The sequence below is a fragment of the Homo sapiens genome, chromosome 5 (genome assembly GCF_000001405.40).
Source record: "Homo sapiens chromosome 5, GRCh38.p14 Primary Assembly".
NCBI lineage: Eukaryota > Metazoa > Chordata > Mammalia > Primates > Hominidae > Homo > Homo sapiens.
The window spans coordinates 38,574,765-38,598,390 of NC_000005.10; the positions used below are offsets into that span (position 1 = coordinate 38,574,765).

Sequence of the window (23,626 nt, forward strand, 5' to 3'; positions counted from 1 at the left end):
TTTGCATGCTGACGGTCACAGTCTTTTCCTAAGCTCTGGACTTTTGCTTTCATTCTTGAGCCTATCCAAACCTTCCCTGTAATATCTATACACATTGTTTTACCTCTATAGCTAGAATATGTTATATTTCATCCTATCAAGACATCTTTTGTTCCCCTGCAACCCTGCAATTCCACACCTACGTATATACTCAACAGGAACTTGTGCATGTTTTCACCAAAAGGCATGCACTGAAATTGTCACAGCATACTATTCATAATAACTCCAAACTGGAAACTATCCACATGCCCATCCAAGCAGAACAGATCAACTGTTTTGTATTCATATGTCATATTATATAACAGCAAAAATAAATGGTCTAAACTTAACAACACAGATGAATCTCACAAATGTGATGTTGGAGGAAATAAGTCAAGAACATTCTATTTGATTCCACTTAGAAAAAGTTCAAAAACTGGCAAAACTAATTTACAGTATTAAAAGTCAGGAATGGCAGCTACTCTTGGAAGAGTAGTGATTGGAAGGGGATGGTGGGGGCCCCAGGGTACTGATAATGTTCTTAGTGTTTAGCTTATAAAAATTCACCAATATATACATTTATGATATATGCACTTATATTTATGTATATTATACTTTAAGAGGTTTTATAAAACAACTTTGTATCTGTTTGTTTCTGATTACTTCAATTTACGGAGACAAGTTTGCAATCTGATGCCGTTGTCTGATGTGCTGGTTACCCACCGTTTGCCCAGAGAGAGCTTCCTATACATGAAAAGAGACCACTCTGAATTGTTTAAAGTCTAAATTGTGACAATTGTGAAGAACACAGGGCTGCCTGCCATAGACTGTCAGAAATCCACTAATGGCTGTGCTGAGTCCATGGGCAGCTGTGGTTTGGGGCACAAATTAACAAACACACATTACACAGTCCGCTGATCCAGAAAATGTGCTGGACTGGTTTCCCACCTCTCATATCTCTTCTCCATCCTCTGTAGGACCCAGAGGCCCCCCACCTATAGGCTCATCCCTGCTCTGGGTTCTGGGACCAATCTTGTCCTTAGGGGGAAATTTAAAGAGACAGATTTGGGTAACTGAGGTGACCCGGGCTCAAGTCGGTTTAGCTCAGATACTTGGAATGGTAGGCCTGGAAAGGAACCTTGTGAAGATTGCTCTTTCTAGGATTTATTCCTGTGTCACTGGTTTTGCATTTTGTTTGAGAAAGAGATACAGAGGAAGGTGATGGGGGAAGGGCATCATAATGCTGTGGAAAGACCATGGCTTTGAAATCAGACTGCTGGGCCCACATACTAATGCCGTGGTTTAATCAGCCACGTGGCCTGGTTATATTCCTCCCTGAGCCTCTGTTTCCTCATCTCTATGGTAGGGATAAAAGAACCAAATTTAAAGTTGTGAACCTCAAAAACCACCTTGCTGGTCTAAGTCACTATCATCTCTTGTCTGTTATTGCAATAATCTGCTAACAGTCCTCTCTGCTTCCTGCTTGCTCCACTGCCATCTGTGGTCAACATCATATCCAGAACAATCCTGTTTAAAAATGTAACTTGGATGATTCTTCCTTTTGCTTAAAACCTGATCATGCCTTTCAATTTCTTACAGGTAAGAGCCAGAGTTCCTATGATTATCTAAAACAGGCATAACCTTGCTCAACCTTGGCACTCTTGACATCCAGAGCCAGATAATTTTTGGTTAAAGAGGGTTGTCCTGTGCATTATAGGCCTAGCTTTCCATGACAGACTTGCCAGCATTTTCTTGGTTCCACTTGACTATAATGCGAGCCAGCGCTGGGACTCATAGAAACGTGACACCATCCGATAAGCAAACAACTACAAATGCCAAGAGTGAAAGAAGGCTTAGAGGCTTGGCTGGTTGTCATTTTTAATGTGTTAACGTGACATTAGACAGTTTCTTTGGCAGGTATCACAATAGTGTCAGCAGGGAATCATCTGGTTACAGTAGTTAGTTGCCTGTGATAAAGGATCAAGTAATCAAGTACGTATTATTTCTATCTCAGATTTTCTTCATGCCTGTTATAGGGAGGGATTCGGGGCAATATTCAGACACATTCAAAGCACAGAGTTGTGAAAATTAGTCAAGCAACACTGAAACTAAATTTTTAAGTAGAAATGGATCGGACACAATCCTAAAGTGCTCACATAAGCAAAACCATTGATTGAACCATACTGCATTTGTCTGAGATAAAATTGGAAATCATTTATCAAGCTGTCAGTGGAATCGATTTGAACTGACACTGATGACACAAACAGATATTGAAGGTTATAAGAATTTCTTGAAAAGCTTAAGACATTCAAAGACACCAGTTAAAAAGATTTTTATGATTTGGTTTCTAAACATCTGGTCATGGTATTCAGCCAACTCATTCTCCTCCCTCTCCTTTCTTCTCATCCTGACTTAATGTCTGAGTATGAAGCTAACAATGGAGGAGGATGTAGTGCTGATTGATGGAAAGAAGCAGATATTTGAAGCTACGTTTTGAGTATCTAGATCTAATTGTAAATGGAGCCCTGATTTCAGCTGACTGACACCTCTCGCTCTGCCTACCCACCTACTCCTTCCTTTCTGATTATTCCCTACCCAGCTCTCAGGACTTCCATTTACCACACCTGGGCAAATCTCCCCGGTGCCAGTCATCTGCCTAGACTGCCCCTTCACCTTTTCCCACACTGTCCAGATAGTGCCTTGCCTGCCTAGTCTTCCTCCCACAAGAACCTGCACACCCTCCTCTTCCTGCCCACTGACTGATAGCATCCCCACCTCCCAGACACCTTCCCAGAGTGCTTCTCTCCAGTTTTGACATGTCCTGCCCTGTCAACCAAGAACTTCATCCTCTCAAAAACCATGGACGTTTTAGCTCTGTAACCAATGTTTGTTTTGCTTAACACAGTTTGAATTAAGTTTCTGTCACTTGCAACTGAAATAGCCCTTGATCTTCATTGGTAACAGAACTTAATCTTTTTAAAGCAGATTGGTTTTGGTTTTATTTTTTTGAAAGAGCTAAGGGTCACTTAGAATCAGGCTTTTTGAACAACATAGGCATTTAAGCATGAAAGTATCATTTGTGCATAAAATATTTTGCACTAAAATGTAATGAATATAAACTCAAATGTGATAAAACTGATTTCATACATGCTTCCAGGAATTCCAAGGAGGACCCTCCATGGTGCCTTCTTAAATTGAAATGACATTTATTTAAATGCATGTTATCACATGACTGTTAATCAAACAGTGGCTTTAGAGTGGCATTTTTCCAAGGTGTGGTTAACAGACAAGCTGCATTGGTAACATCTAGTTTAAAATTCAGATTCCTAGGACCCATCCAAGGCCCATTAAATCAGAATCTCTGAGAATTGAGCCTGAGAATATTCTTTTATTTTCCTTTTTCTTTTCTTTTCTTTTTCTTTTTCTTTTTTTTTTTTTTTTGAGACAGAGTTTTGCTCTTGTTGCCCAGGCTGGAGTGCAATGGTGTGATCTCGGCTCACCGCAACGTCTGCCTCCCGGTTTCAAGTGATTCCCCTGCCTCAGCCTCCTGAGTAGCTGGTATTACAGGCATGGACCACCACACCCAGCTAATTTTGTATTTTTAGTAGAGACGGGGTTTCTCCATGTTGGTCAGGCTGGTCTCGAACTCCCAACTTCAGGTGACCCGCCTGCCTTGGCCTCCCGAAGTGCTCAGATTATAGGCATGAGACACCACGCCCAACCAAGACTACTCATTTTTGATAAAATTCCAGGTAACTACTAGACACTATTTCTTTTTTTTTTAGACAGTCTCACTCTGTCGCCCAGGCTGTAGTGTGTAGTGTAGTGGTGCGATCCTGGCTCACTGCAAACTCTGCCTCCCGGGTTCAAGTGATTCTCATGTCTCAGCCTCCTGAGTAGCTGAGATTACAGGTGTCCACCACCACACCCAGCTAACTTTTTAAAAATATTTTTAGTAGAGACAGGGTTTCACCATGTTGGATAGGCTGGTCTCAAACTCCTGACCTCTGATGATCTGCCTGCCTCAGCCTCCCAAAGTGCTGGGATTACAGGCGTGAGCCACCACGCGCAGCCTAGACACCATTTCTTTAAGACACGTTTCATATATATTTTTTTTAGTTCACCTTCAAGTGTACTGTCCTAACCTAAAGAATAATTCCAAGAACACTTCCTCATTTAGACAATCAATACAGAATGAGTACACCTGTGAAAAGTGGTAAAGGTTCAGATAATTTAGAAATACTTAGAAGTAGAAGGCATTAGTCACCTTAGGCTCAGTTGGCTGTGGTAACAAATGATGCAAAATATTAATGGCTTACAATTTCAAAGACTTATGTTTTATGCATTTACATTTCCATTCTAGGACTCTCCAGAACTCTAAGATGTCAGAACAAACTTTGGGACATAGCTGGTCTTGTAGCAAAGGATACAAAGAATAGATGAACTACACCTGGCTCTTCGAGTGTCTGATAGAAGAAACACACCTTACCCACAGCCATGTTACATTGGCCAAAACAGGTCACGTGGCCACACTTGGGGCCAGTGAAGTAGAGAAGGATAATATTTCTACAGAAAAGGGATACCACAGGGAGGAGCAGCCAACATTTTGAACAGAAATATAATCTGCTATATAGGACATTTCATAAAGTAGGTCAAATATTTTTGGAAAAAAAAAAGAGGGGAGTCTATGTATGGTCAGTTAAGTTTAGGAACTCCTACATAATACCCATCTCTAGAGCTATGCAATGTAAACCAGCACACCGAAGGCTCTCAGAAGTCCTGCAATAGAAAAATAAAATCAAGATTGTTTAACCCCAAGTTTCCAAGCTTTGTTTCCATGGAACATTTTCCAAACACCATCTCAACATACCTCAATAATTTGAGGTATACTCACCAAGAAAGTCAATTATGTTATAGACAAAATACTGCAACACTTTCTTCTACTATAAAGCATTCATTTGAGCTATTCCTAATAGAATGTTGCATAATAAACTCTGTGTAGCTTTGAGCTATTCGTGTGTTTTTAAAAATGTGATATTCTACTAGGTCATCCAAAAACCTGGGGAATTCTATGCAAATATCTTAATATTCAACAGTTACAGGCTGTTGAAATTTAATAGTGTTAATGGAGAACACATAAGAGGTGACTCTAATAAGCTAGCTCTTCCAGGTAGAAGAGTGTTCCCAAAAGGATTTTAATTTTAAATCCTTCTCATTACTATGTTTGGAATTAGGCAATTCCTGTAAATTGAAGCAATGCACTTTTTTCCCCATTTATGGGAATCTGTCATTTTAGAAGTTCATAAATAAGTTCTGCAGTTATAAATTAGTATAAAAGTACTTAATTCTATGAGAGTCATCATCAGGGAAGCTCATTTTCTACTTTTTCTCCACCTCCACCCAAATGCATCCTTGTACCTCCTCCACTGGGATACTCATAAGGTGCAATGTGATTTATGCTGCTGTGGAAGTGGAGGTTCTTGTTTCTCAAAGTCACTATGGCTGGAGTGTGCCACAAACAGAGGTGGCTGTGGTTGCCTCCTAATTCCTCCAGTTTTAAGTCATTGTGGTGATCATCATTTTGAAAACCCATCCTCTCTTCTCTCCCTGCCACCTTCCTTTCCCTTATCACTGCCTCCCAGTCAAAGTTTCTCTGGCTCTTCCTCCTAGATCTACTCCTTAAATCATGGGGTTCCTCCAAATTCTTCCCTTGACACTCTTTTCAAGTCACTTTCTACATCTGCCAGGGTGAATTAATCTGCTACCTGGCCTTCTGCCCCACCTAGATCTGTCTCCACCCCACATTGCTCCTAGCTTCGGTCCCGTATTCTAACTGCCAGTAGGTCATCTCCACCTAACCTCACATCTGCCTCAAAATTAATGTATCCCAAGCAAAACTCGTCATTTTCCTTTCCTAAACCTGCTCTTTTTTTCCCTCGTTCCAATTCATTGCTTCAGCACCAATTGAGCCTCTTCAGTAAAGAATGAGGCATTATCTGTGGCTCCTCCATCTCTGTCACCCCTAAGCTTCACCTCATGCCCACCTTCAGCCTCTGCAGCCCCATAAATATGAGACTCGAGATGTTCTTCTCTATCTCCGTGTGCTTCAGATGCTTATTACCACTTTCTAGGCTTCTGAGAGTGGGATATGGATTCTGGCACCCAGACTGCTTGGGATGGAACTCTAATGCTACAATGTCTTTGGAGTGACTTAGCCAAGTTATTCAACCTCTCTGTGCCTCAGTTTCCTCATCTATAAAAAAAGGATCATTACAATGTCTACCCCAGGGGGTGGTTGTATTACTTTGGTAAATAGGTGCAAAATGCCTCACACATGGTATGTGCACAATAAATAGTGGTGGTTAGGATTATAAAAACGCTTTAGCTGATTTCCCTGGTACTAGCATCATTCCCCTCCTATTAGAATCATCTTTCTAAGAAAAAAAAAAACTTATCAGGTCACTCCTTAGCTTCTGCTGGCTTTCTACTATTTAAAGACTAAAACTCAACTTTCCTAGCAGGACGTTTAAGACCCTTTGAAAATCTGTTCCCAGGCTACCTTTCTGGAGTATTTCTGGCTGTCTTTCTCTAAACGCGGAGTCTACACTCTCAGCCAATCTGAACTTCTCACCATTCCGCAACCACTCCATGCCCTTTCATAGTCCTGTGCCTTTTCAGTGACTATTTTTGTGTTAATCAGCTTTCCTAAGGTACGCTGCTGTAACCAGCATCCCATGTCTTGGAGGTTTTCAACAGCAAGGTCTATTTCTTGCTTGTATATTACACATTGGCTGCAGGTTGGCCTCAGCTTTATTCCAAGAGTCTTCTTTTTTCTGGGACTGAAGTGAAATGAGCAGGTCCTTTCTGGAAATGGTTTTCTCACATGTCAGAGGGAGAAGAGTAATACTGGAATGTCACGATGAATTTTGCTCATAAGTGACACAAATCACTTCTGTTCACATTTTATTGAGCTGAGCAAGTCACATGGCCAAAATTGACCTTAAATGGGGCAGGGAAATATAAACCTGTCACAGGGAGATGGAACAAGTAATTGGAAACAATAATGTGATCTCGCACAGTATCCTATATTTGAAATGCCACCACACATTCCTCCTTTTCCCCATTCTTCAAACCTTCAAAGCTGCATTATCACTTCCTTTGTGAAGCGTTTCTTTTGCCACCAGGTAGAGTTAGCTCACTTCTCCGCATTCTTGCAAGCCTCACTTCTAAGAATGTGCTTATTACACTGGACAAATGACCACTTCTTTTTTTTTCCTTTTTTTTTTTTCTTTTTTTAGAGATGGTGTCCTCTCTGTTGCCCAGGCTGAAGTGCAGTCTCATGATCATAGATCACTGCAGCCTCGAACTCCTGGGCTCAAGTGATCCCTGCTCCTCAGCCTCCCAAGTAGCACGTGACACCATGCCTGGCTACAGCCTTTTCTTGATTTCTCTGTCTCCAGTTCCAAGCATCTCAGAACATACTGACAGAATGAATAAATCAGGCAGTTTGTTGCTTGGCAATTTATTAGACAGGATTGGGAACTAATATGCAGAGGTAGGTGACCAAGTAAATCCTTCAATCAGGCAGAAAGGAGTTGGAAGGATCAGTGAGACTCAGTTTGGTTTTTTCTCCATGTTCACTAAATACTTACATCGTTTTCTTATTTTGCCCTCAGTCTGTTGCTATGCAAGAACAAATACCTTAGAGATATGCTATTTATGCAAACAGCCTTGGGCATTTATATATATATAATATTCAAATTAAAATAAATTATGCACATATAGTGTTTGTTAAAACTTTGCTTCACATCAAGTGATCTATTAAAAAGACAAGGCCAGCAAAATTATCTCCATGAACCACCAGTAAGCTTCATCTTTAGTAACCTTTTTGGACAATACTAAATCAAATTGCTAGGTTTTCAGTGTTACCTCCAAAGTACTGCAGATTCATCCCCTGCCAGCATTTCACTGGCACTGTCTTAGTTTCGGTTCTCATCACTGTTAATCTGCACTTTTATCACAATGCTTACTTGGTTTCCTTCTGCCCAGGGAATTCCCTGCTGCCACTTCCTCAGCACCCTTCAATCAAGAAGCTATTCATCAGGCATTGCCTTCCTTCTGAAACCTCTCTGACGCCCTATCTTCACCGTCCTCCAACAGAGTTAAATCCGGTCTCTGTGTAACTTTTTATCATTGTGTTTGATCGCATTGCATTGTAATTATTTGTTTATTTGTCTGTTTCCTCTTGATGGAATAAGAGTCGTTTGAGAACAGGCACTGCAGTATGCTAATTCCTCCCTATACTCAGAGCAGAGTGCCTTGCACATACGTAACGTGTTCAATTGATGCTTGCTTGTTACGTAGAGCTGCTGTTGAACTGAAGGCCAAAATTATGAGTTATAAATTTCATGATCAGTAATATGGTACAACTTATAACACTTTTTTGATCTTGCATTCTAACATATGCTAATATTTTCATGATACATGGAGAATGGAGTGTTTCTAGTATTAATCATATGCTTTATGTTAAGTAATGTAGATTTTCACTTTCATATATAAGCACCATGCAAGGCTTTTTGGAAACGAACCAATTCTCATGAGAACTTATTAGTGTATTAAGAAAACACTGACACCAAAAGTTCAGGCTAAAAAAGCAAAAATAAATAAATGAGACTACAACAAACTATAAAGCTTCTGCACTGCAAAGGAAACAGTCAACAAAAAGAAAAGGCAACCTACAGACTGGGAAAAAGTACTTGCAAAACACGTATCTGATAAGGGGTTAATACCCAAAATTTATAAAGAACATTTATAACTCAATAGCAGAAAAATAAATAACCTGATTTAAAAAGGGGTAAAGAAGCTAAACAGACATTTCTCCAGAGAAGACATAAAATGATCAACAGGTATATGAAAAGGGTACTCAACATCACTAAACACCATTGATATGGTTTGACTGTGTCCCCACCCAAATCTCATCTTGAATTGTGACTCCCATAATTCCTATGTGTTGTGGGAGGGATCCAGTGGGAGATAATTGAATCATGGGGTTGGTTTCCCCCATATTGTTCTCATGGTAGTGAATAAGTCTCATGACATCTGATGGCTTTATAAGGGGTTTCCCTTTTCCATTGGCTCTCATTCTGTCTTGCCTGCTGCCATGTAAGATGTAACTTTTGCCTTTCACCATGTGAGGCCTCCCCAGCCATGTGGAACTGTGAGTCCATTAAATCTCTCTCTTTTTTTTTTAATTAATTACCCAGTCTCGGGTATGTCTTTATCAGCAGCATGAAAATGGATTAATACAACCATGGAGATGCAAATTAAAGCCACTGTGAGACACCATCTCATACTCATTAGATACCATTTCACACCCTTTTGATAATAGGACTATTATTGAAAAGTCAAGAAATAACAAATATTGGTGAGATGGTAGAGAAAAGAGAATGCTTGTACAATGTTGGTGGGAATTTAGATTGATACAGCCATGAGGGAAAACAGTATGGAGGCTCCTAAAGAAATTTAAAAATGGAACTACCATATGACCCAGCAATCCCTCTTCTGGGTATACACACAAAGATGAAATCACCCACTCATAAAGATACCTGCACTCTCATGTTCATTGTGGTACTGTTCCATAGCCAAGACATGGAAACAACCTAAGTGTCAACAAATGAATGGATAAAGAAAATGTGGTATATATGCATATACACACATACACAAACACACACACTGGAATATTATTTAGCCTTAAAAAAGAAAGAGATCCTAATGCTTGCCACAACATAAATGGACCTGTACACTATGCTCCGTGAGTAAGCCAGACACAGAAAAAAAAAATAGTGCAAGACCTAACTTATATGTGGAATCTTAAAACAGAAAATCAAATAGACAAGGAGAATGAAACAGTGGTTATGGGTCAGTGGGGAGAAAATAGGGAGATGTAGGTCAAAGGATAAAAAGTAGCAGATAAGTAGGATGAACACACCTAGAGATCTCATGTAAAAAATGGGGACTATAGGTAGTAAAATTGTATTGCATTAGGGATTTTTGTTAAATAAGTAGAGTTCAGCAGCTTTTGTCACACACACACACAAAAGTGACTATGTGAGAGGATAGATGCGTGAATTTGCTTCATTATAGCAACCGTTTTACTATCTATTAATACATGCATCTCATCACATCATGTTGTAAGCCTCAAATATACACAGTAAAATTTACTTTTTAAAAAAGAAGAAAATGCTTTCCAAAGAAATATTCTTCATAGGATATTGTATGATGGCTAAAGAAAAATTAGATGATGCCATAAGTGTTTTTATTATCTTTGTAATAGAATACAAAAGCTAAAGTTTTACTTAAATCAAAAATTAAAGAAATAAAGAGAATTTAAGTTGCGTGCTTTAGAAAAACAGTACAACATACTGACTTAACCAGCTCTTCTAAAAGAAAAGAAGTCAAGTACAAATTACATCCATTTAATTAGCTCAAAGATGAAAATTTCAGTTTTAGTAACTGTAATACATGTTATGTAAGAGACCATGAGGAACAGATCAAAAGGGGTTGTAATTAAAGTGAATCTTCCCAGAACCTTGGGTTACATCAGGAACCTGGCCAGAACAAGCAAGGCTACTGACTTTTGCCAGGGTCATGTTTGGAGGTCGCTTTAACATAGCTCTTTGCTTAAAAAACATAATTTGGGCATAAAAGGGCTCCCAACGTTCAATGATCTCCATGTGCTTCCCATTAGGGTTAGAAGAAGAAATGCTGTGGTAGTTTCTTCAAATAAAATGGAATGGGATTTTCAGAACTCTTTCCAACTTGGCAAAACAGGATGTGTGTCAACCTGGACATCAGGAAGGCCCAGATATTTCTAAAATAGAGGGACACACAGTCATTCAGAGTCACATATGAACCATTGTAAATGGTAACCTAGTTGCTCATTTTTTTTTTCATGGAGGAAAGCATCTAGGTCAGCTCATATGGCTATCTACTTTACTCTAAATAACATAATAATTTTAAAAAATATAAGTCAATGGCAAAATATTGTCCGTAAGTTCCCTTGCTAGCTAGGCTATTATAGACTTGGAAGTTGCCAGAAATGACCTGTCACATCTTCTCTTCTTCATCCACTCCCCACCAAGAGAGCATGATTGATGACCCAGAGCAGTCAATCCCCTTCTGTTTCCCATCTGCAACTGGGCTAATAGGAAGCAACTAAGCCGAGTGTAGCATCACTTTTGGTTACTTATCCGGTATCCGCTTCCCCTTTTCCCCACTTCCCCAGCCACTGAGACATAAGTAGATATTTGCCTGGGGTTCTGGTAAAAGCTTTTGGTTTCCTTTTTTCTTTTCTTTCTTTTTGTTGAGACAGAGTTTCACTCTTGTCACCCGGGTGTCAATGAAAAGCCCCCATTTTAAAACATCGGCTCTGACCCATGACATAGCAACATTATGGCCTCGTTCCTTTAACTCACAGTTTCTTCCAGTGCTAAGAATTATGACAAACTGTCCTACCTATGTTAAATTTTCAGCAAAGTTTATAACTTAAGAGACCTGGTCAGTTGGAAATAAAAGAAGTCTCACACTTATAATGTTTAAATAAAAGAAGATACAAGTCTGTTACACCAAGCTGTACATAACATGGTCCTCATTATGAAAATCCTACCTCAGAATTCTAACTGTAGTTAGAGTGTTCACCTTTCATTATTCATGTAGAAGCCTCAGATGTAAGACTTTCATGTGGATTCCATAATTATCTTTTGCAAATTTTGTTTTTATGTGATACTCACTGTAGTCATTTTCCAAGTGCTAACATGTAGATTCCTATAGGCACCACTCATATTTCTGTTTAAAAAACAACAGAAACGTTCAAACTGGTAACATCTGATTGATAGACTGGGTTAGGGATGCTTACACCTGGAGTGTAGCCAGACCCGAGGCCCTTGCAAACACACAATTATACTAGATCCATCACATCAAAGCCATTTTCTGTGTTGCTTCCAATTTTAGGTCTGGCACATTGTTTCAACTCGTTCTGCTTTAAAACTCTCAAATAGTTTTCAGATGAATGGGTGCAAAATGGCAGCTTGCATATCTTCCTTTAACTCTCCTTTTTGGAAAAGTGTCCACCAAAGAATTTAGAAATGAAAGAAATCCATCAATTAAGCATTTGTGTTATTAATAATAGCCACCATTGACTGAGACACTGTGTGCCAAGAATTGTGCTGATCTACATTACCCTTCACCAGTCTATAAGGTAGACTGATGTTGGTCTCTCGATATTAAATCCTTCACTCATCCATTTGGAGAGTTTTATGAACAGCCACAGGACTACACCCTGGGAATACAGTACTGAAAAAAGTAGACCTCCTGCCCCTTACCCCTCCCCACCCCAGCCCTCTACAAACACACAAACATCCCATGGAGTCTAATGGGGAACAGACATCCCAATGCAGTGAGTGTCAAGAAAGAGGGAAACTGAGGAGCATATACCAGGGGTCCTAACCTAGACAGGGATGGGAAGAAAAACCTCACGGATAAAAAAGATGTTTAAGCCTGGACATTAAAAGTTATTCCGGCAAACAGGGAGGCGTTACTGGTGCTGGAGGTGAAAATCACTCCAGGCAGATGAGACAAGATGCTGTTGGACAAGACGGCCCAGGAGCAAGAAAGAGTCAGGTAGCACTTCCGAAGGACTGAAAAAAAAAAAAAGGCCACTATTGCTTGAGCTAACAGAACTAGCAAGAGAAGACTGGTGAGATAGGCAGGGACCAGATGCTGTGGGCCACATTTGGAACTTTATCCTAAAGGCAGTGAAAAGCTATTAAAGATGGTGGTGGTGGTGGTTGTTACTGTTTTAAAAGAGTGTACGGGATGGGGGACAAATAGGGAGAAGAATGATCAGATTTAAACCCAGAATCTGAGAAATAACATTGCCCAAAGTCACTTTAAAGCTGGAGTTTGAACCCAGCGGGCTAGATTCCCACCTTTTGCTCCTAACCCATGAATCTCTATTGCCTTCTAGTTTTACCAGCTTCATTCTAGTCGGGGCAACTTATCAAAATCCATCAAAAGACCCTTCAAAAGCACATGTATCTAGTGCTTACCATGTGCCTGGGCCTACATTAGGTGTAGGGATTCAAAGGCCCTGGCCTGGAGATATGCCCTGCCTTCTGTTCCTTCTCAGTTGCTACTGTAGAATTTGGAATCTGTATTTCTGACTCTATCCATTAATACATATCACAAGGCCTGTTTTATTTTTGACCTAGAGCAACATTATATCAAAGCATAAGTTAGCTGCAATTGGAGGTTGTGAGGGAAACCATTCTCTCATTAGCAAAATCCCCAATATTCAATATAATGCCAACATTAACATGTGACATGGATACCCAGTTGCAGATGAGTAGACTGAGGTTCTGAAGGTTAAGCCACTAGCCCAAGGTCACACAGGTGGAAAGTTCTAGGTTGAGAGGCCTAGAACTGTCCTCTGGGAAACCAAACTCTCAGGGCTACACAGTCAAGCAGGTTTTCTCTGATCAGGTGCTCAGTCTGAAAAGGAAGGAAGGGGAGAAGAAAGGGCTTGAGGAAGAATTTTAATATGAAGGACACTGTATGCAGGATGATGAGACTGTCTAATCATTCCCCGTGGCTTTAAATACTTTTATTGACCTCATTGTTAAAAATCCTCACAGAAGTCAGTATTACAGAGAAAAGAAATTAATTTTCAATTTTAACTAAACCTCATTTTTCTTCCCTACTTGTTTTTTAAGTTAAATGTTACATGTGGTTGGAGTTGCTAGTAAGTTATGCAATTTTGCTCAGACAAATAAGTAAAGAATAAAATATTTATAAAAATCAGAAGGTATATTTGCTTAGGTCTTTGAATGTCTTTTTCAAAAGGCCTTAAATCCCTATGGATTAATCAAGCACATCTCAGATATTGTCCTTACAATGCTCAGGAAAGAAATGACCCCTAATAGGATAAAAGGCACATTACGATCTGAACTTGAGAATTTGCCTGGAAATTTTTCTTTAGAACTGGAATTACTCTAGAAAGTGTATGAAACACTCTGAGCTTTTCATTATTTCCCCAAATCATCTATCTATAGGTTAGCAATGCATTTATACATTTTACCCATAAAAATAAAGTAGATCCAATTATGCATATGTTTATTGGTATTTATTGTACTTCTACTTTGAAGAGCTCTATGTTATTTCTTTTTTTTTTTTTTTTGAGATGGAGTCTCACTCTGTTGCCGAGGCTGAAGTGCAGTGGCGCGATCTTGGCTCACTGCTAGCTTGGCCTCCTGGGTTCATGCCATTCTCCTGCCTCAGCCTCCCAACTAGCTGGGACTACAGGCTCCTGCCACCACGCCCAGCTAATTTTTATTTTTTTTTTGTATTTTTAGTAGAGATGGTGTTTCACTGTGTTAGCCAGGATGAAGAGCTCTATGTTACTGATCTCATTTTAAAAATCATATTCTTTGGGATACTGCCTCCTTTAAGTGTAGGGCTAACTCCTTTCCCCATGTTTTTTTACAACTTAGCTACTGATCATGTTTAAACAAGAAATAGTAATGCTTATGTTATACTTTAGAGGACTATGAATATCAAAGTGAATGTTCCTTAACTATTAAAAAAATAAAATGGATGAAAGTAATTTTGCTTATTAAAAATAATTCAACTTTACAACAGCTAGTTCTCAAGTGAAATTGAATCCCAAATTAATCCCAAGTGATTCTTGAAAATGCTATAAAATTCAAATCTAGTACCATCAAATTTAAAAAAATGGGAAAAGGGTTAAGGATAAGATTTGATAACCTTATTCCATTAAATAATAGTATATGGAAAGTACGGAAATGGGATTTTAGAATTATTAAAATTTAATTCCCAAATTAGAGTTGCAATAGCAAAGGGTCAGAAGGCAGAGAAGAAAATGTGTGTGTGTGTGTGTGTGTGTGTGTGTGTGTCCTCCCTCCTTCTTTGTCCTCGAGCAGAAAGTAGCTCCACCACTTGTAAAGGGAGTCCCTAGAGAAAGGAAAAGCCCTTAGCTACATTTCCCAGATTTGGAAACCTGGAAATGCTAGAATTGTGAGGGCAGGGTGTGGCAAAATTTCTACTTTTCACTGTTTAGAAACTCTCTTATCTAATTGGAACCAAACCATCTATGTAGTTAACTCATTTAATTCTTACAAACCCGGGACACGGATCCCATTTTGATTATTCCTACCAAACCAATGGTTTTTCTAAGACATAATTTACCAAGTAATTTATCAGAGGTGACTTAGTAAATGCAGGACCTAGAGTTAGCCTCAAGTCTTTTCTATTATTTTCTCTTCCTCTCCTGAATACAGAAATATAGGCTTTGATCATTTACATTCTCTGAACAAATTATTTCCACATGAGAACAGATTACATCCTTTGACTATGATGAGTAGAGACAGATCCTCTGGGGAGGCTGATTTGCAAGCTGGGTACTTGAAAATCCCCAGGGAGGACTGGTCAAAAAGCCAGAAGACCATACAAGCATGGGGGGAAGGGACTGGGAAGTAAGAGGGAGATGAAAGTAGGGAGGTGGGAAAATACTTGGTAACTTTTCCTTGGACCCTAGAGACCCGTGTACCATTGTAAACATCATTTGGGTATCTCCTTTGACACTGCCTCTGTTGTCTGTGCCTGGCATAACATGGAAAGGTAAAGCAGTGGTCCTGTGATATTTTAGGTAACTAAGGACCACCTATGACTGATAATCAAGAGGCAAATACTGTTTCAATGATGACCGTGAATAACAATTAGAAGAAGAGCTATTATTTATGAAGAGCTTATTGCATGTCCACCGCCACCATCATCATCATCAAAATTCATTAGCATGTATTGAGTCCTCACTATGTACCAGACACTGTTCCAAGCTCTTTGCAAGTATTATCCCACTAAATTTGTACAACTATTCAGTCAAGTAGATACCATTATTATCTCCCCTTTATAGAAAGCAGGAACTAAGACAAAGGCAGAAACATTACTTGTCCAAGCACACAGCATTCAAACCCGGGGATCTGACACCAGTGACTGCAAATGACTTACACATTTCATTCAAAAGATTGTTGTTGACTCCCTTTTATATGCCAGGTTCTATGAGGAGGTGGTGAAGCAATGTTGAGAAAAAGTTGACATAAATCCTGTCCTTATGGAATGTACAGTCAGCTGAGGGACAGTAGTCAAATGATGATATAAATAAATGTAGAACTGTAATGGTGCCAAGGATTCTGAAGGAAGGGCTTGCAGCACTGTAATAGTATCTGTCCAGAAGACCTGCCCTAGTTTCATTTAATCTTCACAACAACCCTATCCCTATTTTGTACATTGGAACTGCAGAAGCAAGGTTTAGGGAGAGACAGGAAAGCCCTCTAGGCACTTGCCTAAGGGCAATCTAGTCAAACCTTCCCAAGTTATGAATCAATTTTTTCACTCTGGGCCATGTCACATTTTAGTTGCCATTAGCAAATCATTTCGCTTAGAAGCCTAAGTGGTAATTATGTGCACATTAAGGGATCCAGAATACTGATTTTACTTTAGTACAACTCACACTTTTTTGTATGCAAAGATTTCCCACTGCTCATATAACAGACACCAGGCATTTAACTGACTGCTCACATGGGCATGCAGGCAAGAGGTATTCAGCTGAGGACTCCACACTAATGTTTTGGACTTAACGTTATGCTTTAACTTTTCATCTGTTTTGTAGAATGTAGAATTTGGCTTAATGACTATGTTTATTTCTGTTCAAAGCACTGGAAATAAAAGGTTTGTGCAGATGTTTGAAGGACACCATATAGACTATTCACAAACTTTTGTGGTCAGTTTAGCCACCATGGTCAGGCCCAGTGACTCACTCTAAACTGAGTTTTGTTGTTTCTTAAAATATTGTTTTGCTCTTGTCCTCAGGAAAGTTGGTGTATTCGTCACAAACATTGCTAGGTGGGAGAAGGGGGTGACAGGAGGTGGGATAATGTGAAACAGTCTGTGTGACGAAAGTTTGTTTCAACTTTCCTAGTTATTCCTAAGACTGTGTTTGACCTAAAGAGCATTTTGATCTAGAAGACACCTTAAATTGGAGGGTCTAGTGAAAACCTGCATGCTGTGAAGCAGAGAGCTGAGTCTCTGAGAGATTCAGTGATATCACCAATGCCCTGGACTGGTTGGTGGCACAGACATGCTTACCACTAACTCCAGCCTCCCAAGAACCACAATCCATAGTTCCTTAACTCCACTCCATGCTGACTCTTGGACTTAAACTCTTAATTTCTTTTGGTGTTATTATTTCTTCCCTTCTCTCCTTTTCATGCCTTAAAGGTGGTGCCACAATCATCTGAACTGACATATATTAGCCCACTAACTATGGCCTTGTAGTTTTTGCCAAATAAAGCATTAGTTATGTAACTCTACTCTGTTTTCTGGGAGTATAGAGTTTTAAACAGAAAATTTTAAAGAAATTGGAAATTTCTTTAAGAAAAAAAAAGAGGAAAGAATTAAAAGGTATAGACAAGCAACATCAACTAGCTTCATAAATTAAAGAAATTTTAAGTACATTATGTAAGGCTGGGCACAGTGGCTCACGCCTGTAATCCTAGCACTTTGGGAGCCTGAGGTGGGCAGATCAGCTGAGGCCAGGAGTTTGAGACCAGCCTGGCCAACATGACAAAACCCTGTCTCTACTAAAAACAAAAAATTAGCCAGGTGTGGTGGCACATGCCTGTAATCTCAGCTACTCAGGAGGCTGAGGCACAAGAAATGCTTGAACCTGGGAGGTGGAGATTGCAGCGAGCTGAGATTGCGCCACTGCGCTCCAGCCTGGGCGACAGAGCGAGACTCCGTCTCAAAAAAAAAAAAAAAAAAAGTTACGTGAGACGGCACCATATGTGCACATTTTTTCTATTTTTTTAGAAAAAACTAATAGTTTAATTAAATTAAACTAATACTTTTAAAACTATTTTTAGTTTGTATGGATATATAATGGTTGTACATATATTTGCAAATTTAATGGTAATAAATGTGACGGACATAGTAGCTGACTATTTCAGCAATGGGGTCAGGAACAATTGTATCTTTCCTGATTAGCCAGGAAAGAATCAAGGAGAAGGAGCAGCTGGGCGTGGTGGCTCACGCCTGTAATCCCAGCACTTTGGGAGACCGAGGCGGATAGATCACGAGGCCAGGAGTTCAAGACCAGCCTGACCAACATGGTCAAACCCTGTCTCTACTAAAATTACAAAAATTAGCCAGGCATGGTGGTGCACGCCTGTAATCCCAGCTACTCAGGAGGCTGAGGCGGGAGAATCCCTTGAACCCAGGAGGCGGAGGTTGCGGTGAGCCGAGGTCGAGCCACTGCACTCCAGCCTGGGTGACAGAGCTAGACTCTGTCTCAAAACCAAAAAACAAAACAAAACAAAACAAACAAACAAAAAACATAAAAAAGGCAGGGGAGGGGAAGATGTCCAGTATGAAACTGGGGGGGATGTTAATGAATTCTGTTAGAATGGGGAATCTGGCATAGGTAAAAACTTAAACCTATGCTGTCTAATACAATTGTTGCTTGCCACATGGAGTTAAGTTTAAATTATTCAAATGAAATGTAACTTAAAAATTCAGTTCTGTCACATGAGACACATTTCAAGTGCTCAATAGCCACATGCAGCTAGTGGCTATTATATTGGACCACACAGGTGTAGAATATTCTCATCATTGCAGAAAATGCTTTCAGACAGGGCTGACATAGAAGATGCATCAGAGAAGAGGAGGGGGATAGACGGGTGGGTAGATGAGAGGGGCACATAAGGTAATTGCAACAGAATGAATGTTTATGTCTCCCCCAAATTCATATGTTAAAATCCTAACCCTTAATGTGATGGCATTAGCAGGTGGGGCCTTGGGGAAGTGATTAGATTGTGAGGGTAGAGGCCTCATGAGTGAGATTAGTGCCCTTATAAAAGGGACCCCAGACAGCTCCCTTGTCCCTTTTGCTATGTGAAGACATGATAAGAAAACGGTCCTCTAAGAACGAGGAAGTGGGTGCTCACCAGGCTCTGATTCTGCCTGGTGCCTTGATCTGGGAATTACCAGCCTACAGATCTGTGAGAAATAAATGATTTTTGTTTAAGCTACCCAGACTATCGTATTTTTGTTACAGCAGCCTAAACAGAAAAAAATAGAAACGTTTACCAGGAAAAGTATATGCTAGATGGATAAGGGGAAACAAGAGAGACAGGACACACGGACGTGATCCAGGGAAAGGTCTTGAATTGGGTTAGAGCTTGGATTCAAGGCATTGGCTGGCTGCGATAAAACCTTTGCGCATGTTTTTTTAAATGGTGTTCCTCTGGGCAGAAGCATCCTGTGGTTTTGGCTAGTAGACAGTTCTTTGTGCAAAGAAAAAAGTGTACTTTCCTCAAAACGATGGAGATGGTTAAAAGATCAGTGGTTGTCAGGGCCTGGAGAAGGCAGGGAAGAAAAGAAGGATGAACAGATGGAGCACAGCAGAGTTTTAGCAATAGCAATGAAGCTATTGTAAGATACTATAACGGTGCATATATGTCATCACACGTTTGTCAAAACCCATAGAATGCACAACACGAAGAGTATACATAGTATACATAGTAATGTATACCATGAACTTTGGTTCATACTAATCTATTAATATTGATTCATCAATTGCAACAAATGTACCACACTAACATAAGATGTTACTAACAGGGGAGACTGGGAGTGGGGTGGACAGGGTGGGCAGGGGTATATGAAGCTCTCTGTACTTTGTGCTCTGGCTTTTTATAAACCTAAAACTGCTCTAAGAAATAAGGTCTAGTAATGAAAAATAAAAAGGGAAGCTATTTAACTATTTCTCATAAAATATTTTCAGGCACTCTAAAAGTCTTCATGTTCACATACACAATGACATGACAATAAAACACACTAATCTGGTTTTAGCTGATAATCTAATGTAGTTATATGTGATTCTATCAATATCTGACATGGAAAAAAAGCGAAACAATGTACCTTCCTCTAGGTTTCCACAGAGCAGCTTCAGGCATTCATCTTGGTGAGCAGTGTGCAAGCTGGATTTTCCTAACCACTTGCTCTCTTCCTCAGGTGTCTGTGCGGTGCAGAAACTGTACAACTGTATACAGTGACCATTTCTACTCTGGGTCTCTAAACAAGGGCTGGTATCGTTACAGAGACTGAAGACTGAGGAAGACCATCTCTGTAGGATGCCAAGGATTGACTGGAGAAAGTCTGGGTAAGTACAGGTCACAGGAAACCACACAAGAAATACACTTTTGTAGGACAAAGAGGTAAGGTCAGAGCCCTGAGAGACCCTCACAACTGGTATTAAAGCAGAGTGAAAAGAAATCTAAAGGGGGGACAGGTCTAAGGGGACATGGGACACAAAGCCAGGAAGGAAGGAAGCAAACCCCAGCAGTGCTGTACCTGGAGGGCGATGAATGAGTCGCAGAGGCTCCCTTTCTGAGCTGGGATTAGGAGTTGATAATGGTCTTGCAAGTGCAGTTCTGCAGAGCGAAAGGGCCCGGTGCCTTGCAGCAGAGACACGTTCTGGGAGAGAGGGTTAGGATTTGAGTAAGTTCACACTAGGAGGCTATATATACATGTGTGGCATTGCCCAGGGACTGGAGGGAAAGAGGAGAAGGAAATGCATCACAACAATGACTGGAATGCATCAGCAGTGCAAAACAAAACTCTTGGGAAAACCAAATTGTGTCTTGGATTGTGGTTCAAGGAACTAGTAATGGGATAAAAAGCTTTTGCCTCCAGGCCAGCAGCATGAGTCCAACCCAGGTTAGGAGTCAGCAGTGTGTTTCAGATGTCAGTGTGAAAGGAATCCATGGGGCCAATCTAACCTTCTAGTATTAGAGTAATCCTGAAAACCACAATAGGTCTTTTTTTTTTTTTTTTTTTTTTTGAAACAGAGTCTCGCTCTGTCTCCCAAGCTGGAGTGCAGCGGCTCGATCTCGGCTCACTGCAAGCTCCGCCTCCCGGGTTCCTGCCATTCTCCTGCCTCAGCCTCCCGAGTAGCTGGGACTACAAGGCGCCCGCCACCGCGCCCGGCTAATTTTTTTGCATTTTTTCAGTAGAGACGGGGTTTCACCGTGTTAGCCAGGATGGTCTCGATCTCCTGACCTCGTGATCCACCTGCCTCGGCCTCCCAAAGTGCTGGGATGACAGGCGTGAGCCACCGCGCCCGGCCCACAATAGGTAATCTTAGCAGCCTGCTTCATGAGATGACTGGGAAGGGAAGATGAATTGTGATACTGGCTCATTCTTAGCCACGGAGGGAGCCTCTTTAGAATAAGACTGGAGCAATATGGACAATTTGTACCACTCCTTTATATATAGGCCAATGCTCCTCGAAGCTTGATTCATGGACCAGTTGCACCCAAATCACCCTGGGCTGCTTATTAGCAATGCAAACTTTCCTGGGTCCACTCTAGACCAAGTGAATCTGCATCGTTAGGTATGGGATCTGGGAATCTGCATTTTAGCTTCTTATGTGATTCTTGTGTACACCGAAGTTTGAAGATTATTGGGGCAGATCAGAGGTTCTCAAACTTTAGCAAGCATGAGAATCACATCACTTAAAGGGCTTGTGAGCTTACAGGTGCCTGGGCCCCACCTCCAGAGTTTCCAATTCACTATCTGGGATGGGGCTTGAGAAGTTACATTTCTAAAACATTTCCAGGTCATGCTGCTGGACTAGAGACCACACTTTGAGAACCATTGCTGTAAATAGAGCTCTTTACCTGGCTCGGACAGTGTAAAATCGCCCTTACCATTCATCCACATAATTCAGCTAGCTTCTACCATCCTGTCATATAGATGACTAACACCCATGACCTCTTTTTCACCTTGTTAGATAACTTCCAGTTTTAAATTGACAATATGAAAAACGATCACACCTGGTCAACCCTAATCTTGTATATTGTTCTGGTTCCAAATGTTTATATTATTATCAACACTGTCCTTTCCTCATTTTTGGCGGTGACCTGTTCAACTTTGTGTTACCTTGGGCTTCAAAATGCAAAATCAGCTCCTTTCTTTGCTTGCCATAAGAAATGGCATGCAAGAAAAAAAAAAAATGCTTCCAAAATAGAGGAACCTGAAAATATTCTGAAATTCAGAAGGTGTTATTTTGGGGAGCCTTTCTGGGACAGGATGTCCCCATCATCAGCTAGAGGAAGCCCAGCTTCTGATAAACAAAGTTGTGCCTTGCACAGATCAAAGGGAGCCATTTATTGAAGGAAGGGATGGAAGTATTTGATGAGGCCCTTCTGCAGACTCCCTGTAAACAGGATAAACCCTATCAATGAAAGCTTATACTCAGCCAGGCCACAGTCCCCAGGAACAATGGAGCAACAAGAACATTGGGTGGTGAGGAAAGAGCCTTGGTCCAGACAAGATTGTTCTGCCAAGAGAATGGCCGTAAACAGGATTAGTTGTAATGAGATTATGAACTTAGGACCTGGAGGCCTGAGCTGGAGAGTTCAGTGTTACATAAAGAAAAGACACAGAAGTAGCTCGTGGGGTGAGAGGATGCCAAAAGGACAAGGACTTTTCCTTCCTAGCATCCCTCTAGCCCAGGGGTGCCATCTCTCTGGGGAGGAAAAATTAGTCACTGTAATTGCACATATTGCTTGTGGGAGTAGACAAACTAGGGACTAAAGCACCAAAGTAGTGGGCCTCAATTAGGGGATGCTGGCAATGTCTGAAGACATTTTTGGTTGTCACAACTGGGTGAGGTAGTGCTACTAGCATCCAAAGGCAGAGGCCAGGGATGCTGCTCAGTATCCTACAATGCACAGGACAGCCTTGCACAACTAAGAAATATCCAGCCCCAAATGCAGAGGTTGAGAACCCCTGTGCTGGAGTGACGGAGAGGGAATCCAGCTAGGATGCTGGTAGATGACCAGCTGGAGACGGAGCGTGGCAGTGGTGGGGAGGGAAGGGGCAAGTATTTCATGGGCTTAGTCTAGAGGGACTTCACATTAGCAGTCCTCAGAAGGTGAAAGTTGGTTGTTGAGTGGGGGTGCATGGAGCAAGAAAGTTATTTATTTTATGCATAAAGCACATACAGTGCATAAGGACATAGACAGCATTTCTGGGGTATTCAAGTTTCATGGGGATTGGTGGGGTGCTTGGGAAAATAATGTCTAAAAAGGCTCCTTAGGAGGTGATAATAAGAAAAAAAAAGGTTGAGAAACACTGATTAGACTCTAGAAATTCACCCACTTTCCCCAGCTGCATCCAGGATTCACATGGTGGGATCTTTCTAAGAAACAAATCTATGGCAGTGACTCCATGGCTATGACTGGTTTCTTATTGCCTTCAGGATAAAATAGAAATATCCTTGTATTTTAAGGCACCTCTTTTTTTTTTTTTTTTTTTTTATTTATTTATTTATTTTTTTTTTTTTTCTTTTTAGAGGGAGTCTCGCTGTGTCGCCCAGGCTGGAGTACAATGGTGCAATCTCGGTGCTCTGCAACCTCCCCCTCCCGAGTTGAAGCATTTCTCCCACCTCAGCCTCCAAAGTAGCTGGAATTACAGG

General features: G+C 40.6%; 1 protein-coding gene and 2 long non-coding RNA genes across 6 annotated transcripts in view; 2 read left to right on the top strand and 1 right to left on the bottom strand.

Moving 5' to 3' along the window:
- The window catches only part of LIFR (LIF receptor subunit alpha), a 133,736-nt gene that overhangs the window by 100,097 nt on the left and 10,013 nt on the right, over positions 1-23,626 (bottom strand). The window contains exons 1-2 of one of the 3 annotated variants that reach the window (XM_047417172.1): positions 20,497-20,641; positions 20,065-20,301 (exon numbers count right to left, since the gene is read on the bottom strand). In XM_047417172.1, the coding sequence (XP_047273128.1) occupies positions 20,065-20,099 (35 nt within the window). In that variant the 5' untranslated portion in view covers positions 20,100-20,301; positions 20,497-20,641. Of the gene's footprint in view, positions 1-20,064; positions 20,302-20,496; positions 20,642-23,626 lie in introns of those variants that run through there. The other 2 variants (XM_017009463.2, NM_002310.6) reach the window with 2 other exon arrangements.
- LIFR-AS1 (LIFR antisense RNA 1) overlaps positions 1-23,626 on the top strand; it is a 114,431-nt gene that overhangs the window by 17,979 nt on the left and 72,826 nt on the right. For both annotated transcript variants that reach the window (NR_103554.1, NR_103553.1), the window contains exon 2: positions 20,158-20,305. This is a non-coding gene — a long non-coding RNA (LIFR antisense RNA 1). The remainder of the gene's footprint in view (positions 1-20,157; positions 20,306-23,626) is intronic.
- On the top strand, positions 676-4,836 carry LOC105374735 (uncharacterized). Its single transcript, XR_925936.3, has 2 exons — positions 676-1,617; positions 4,382-4,836. It is a non-coding gene; the product is annotated as an uncharacterized LOC105374735 (long non-coding RNA).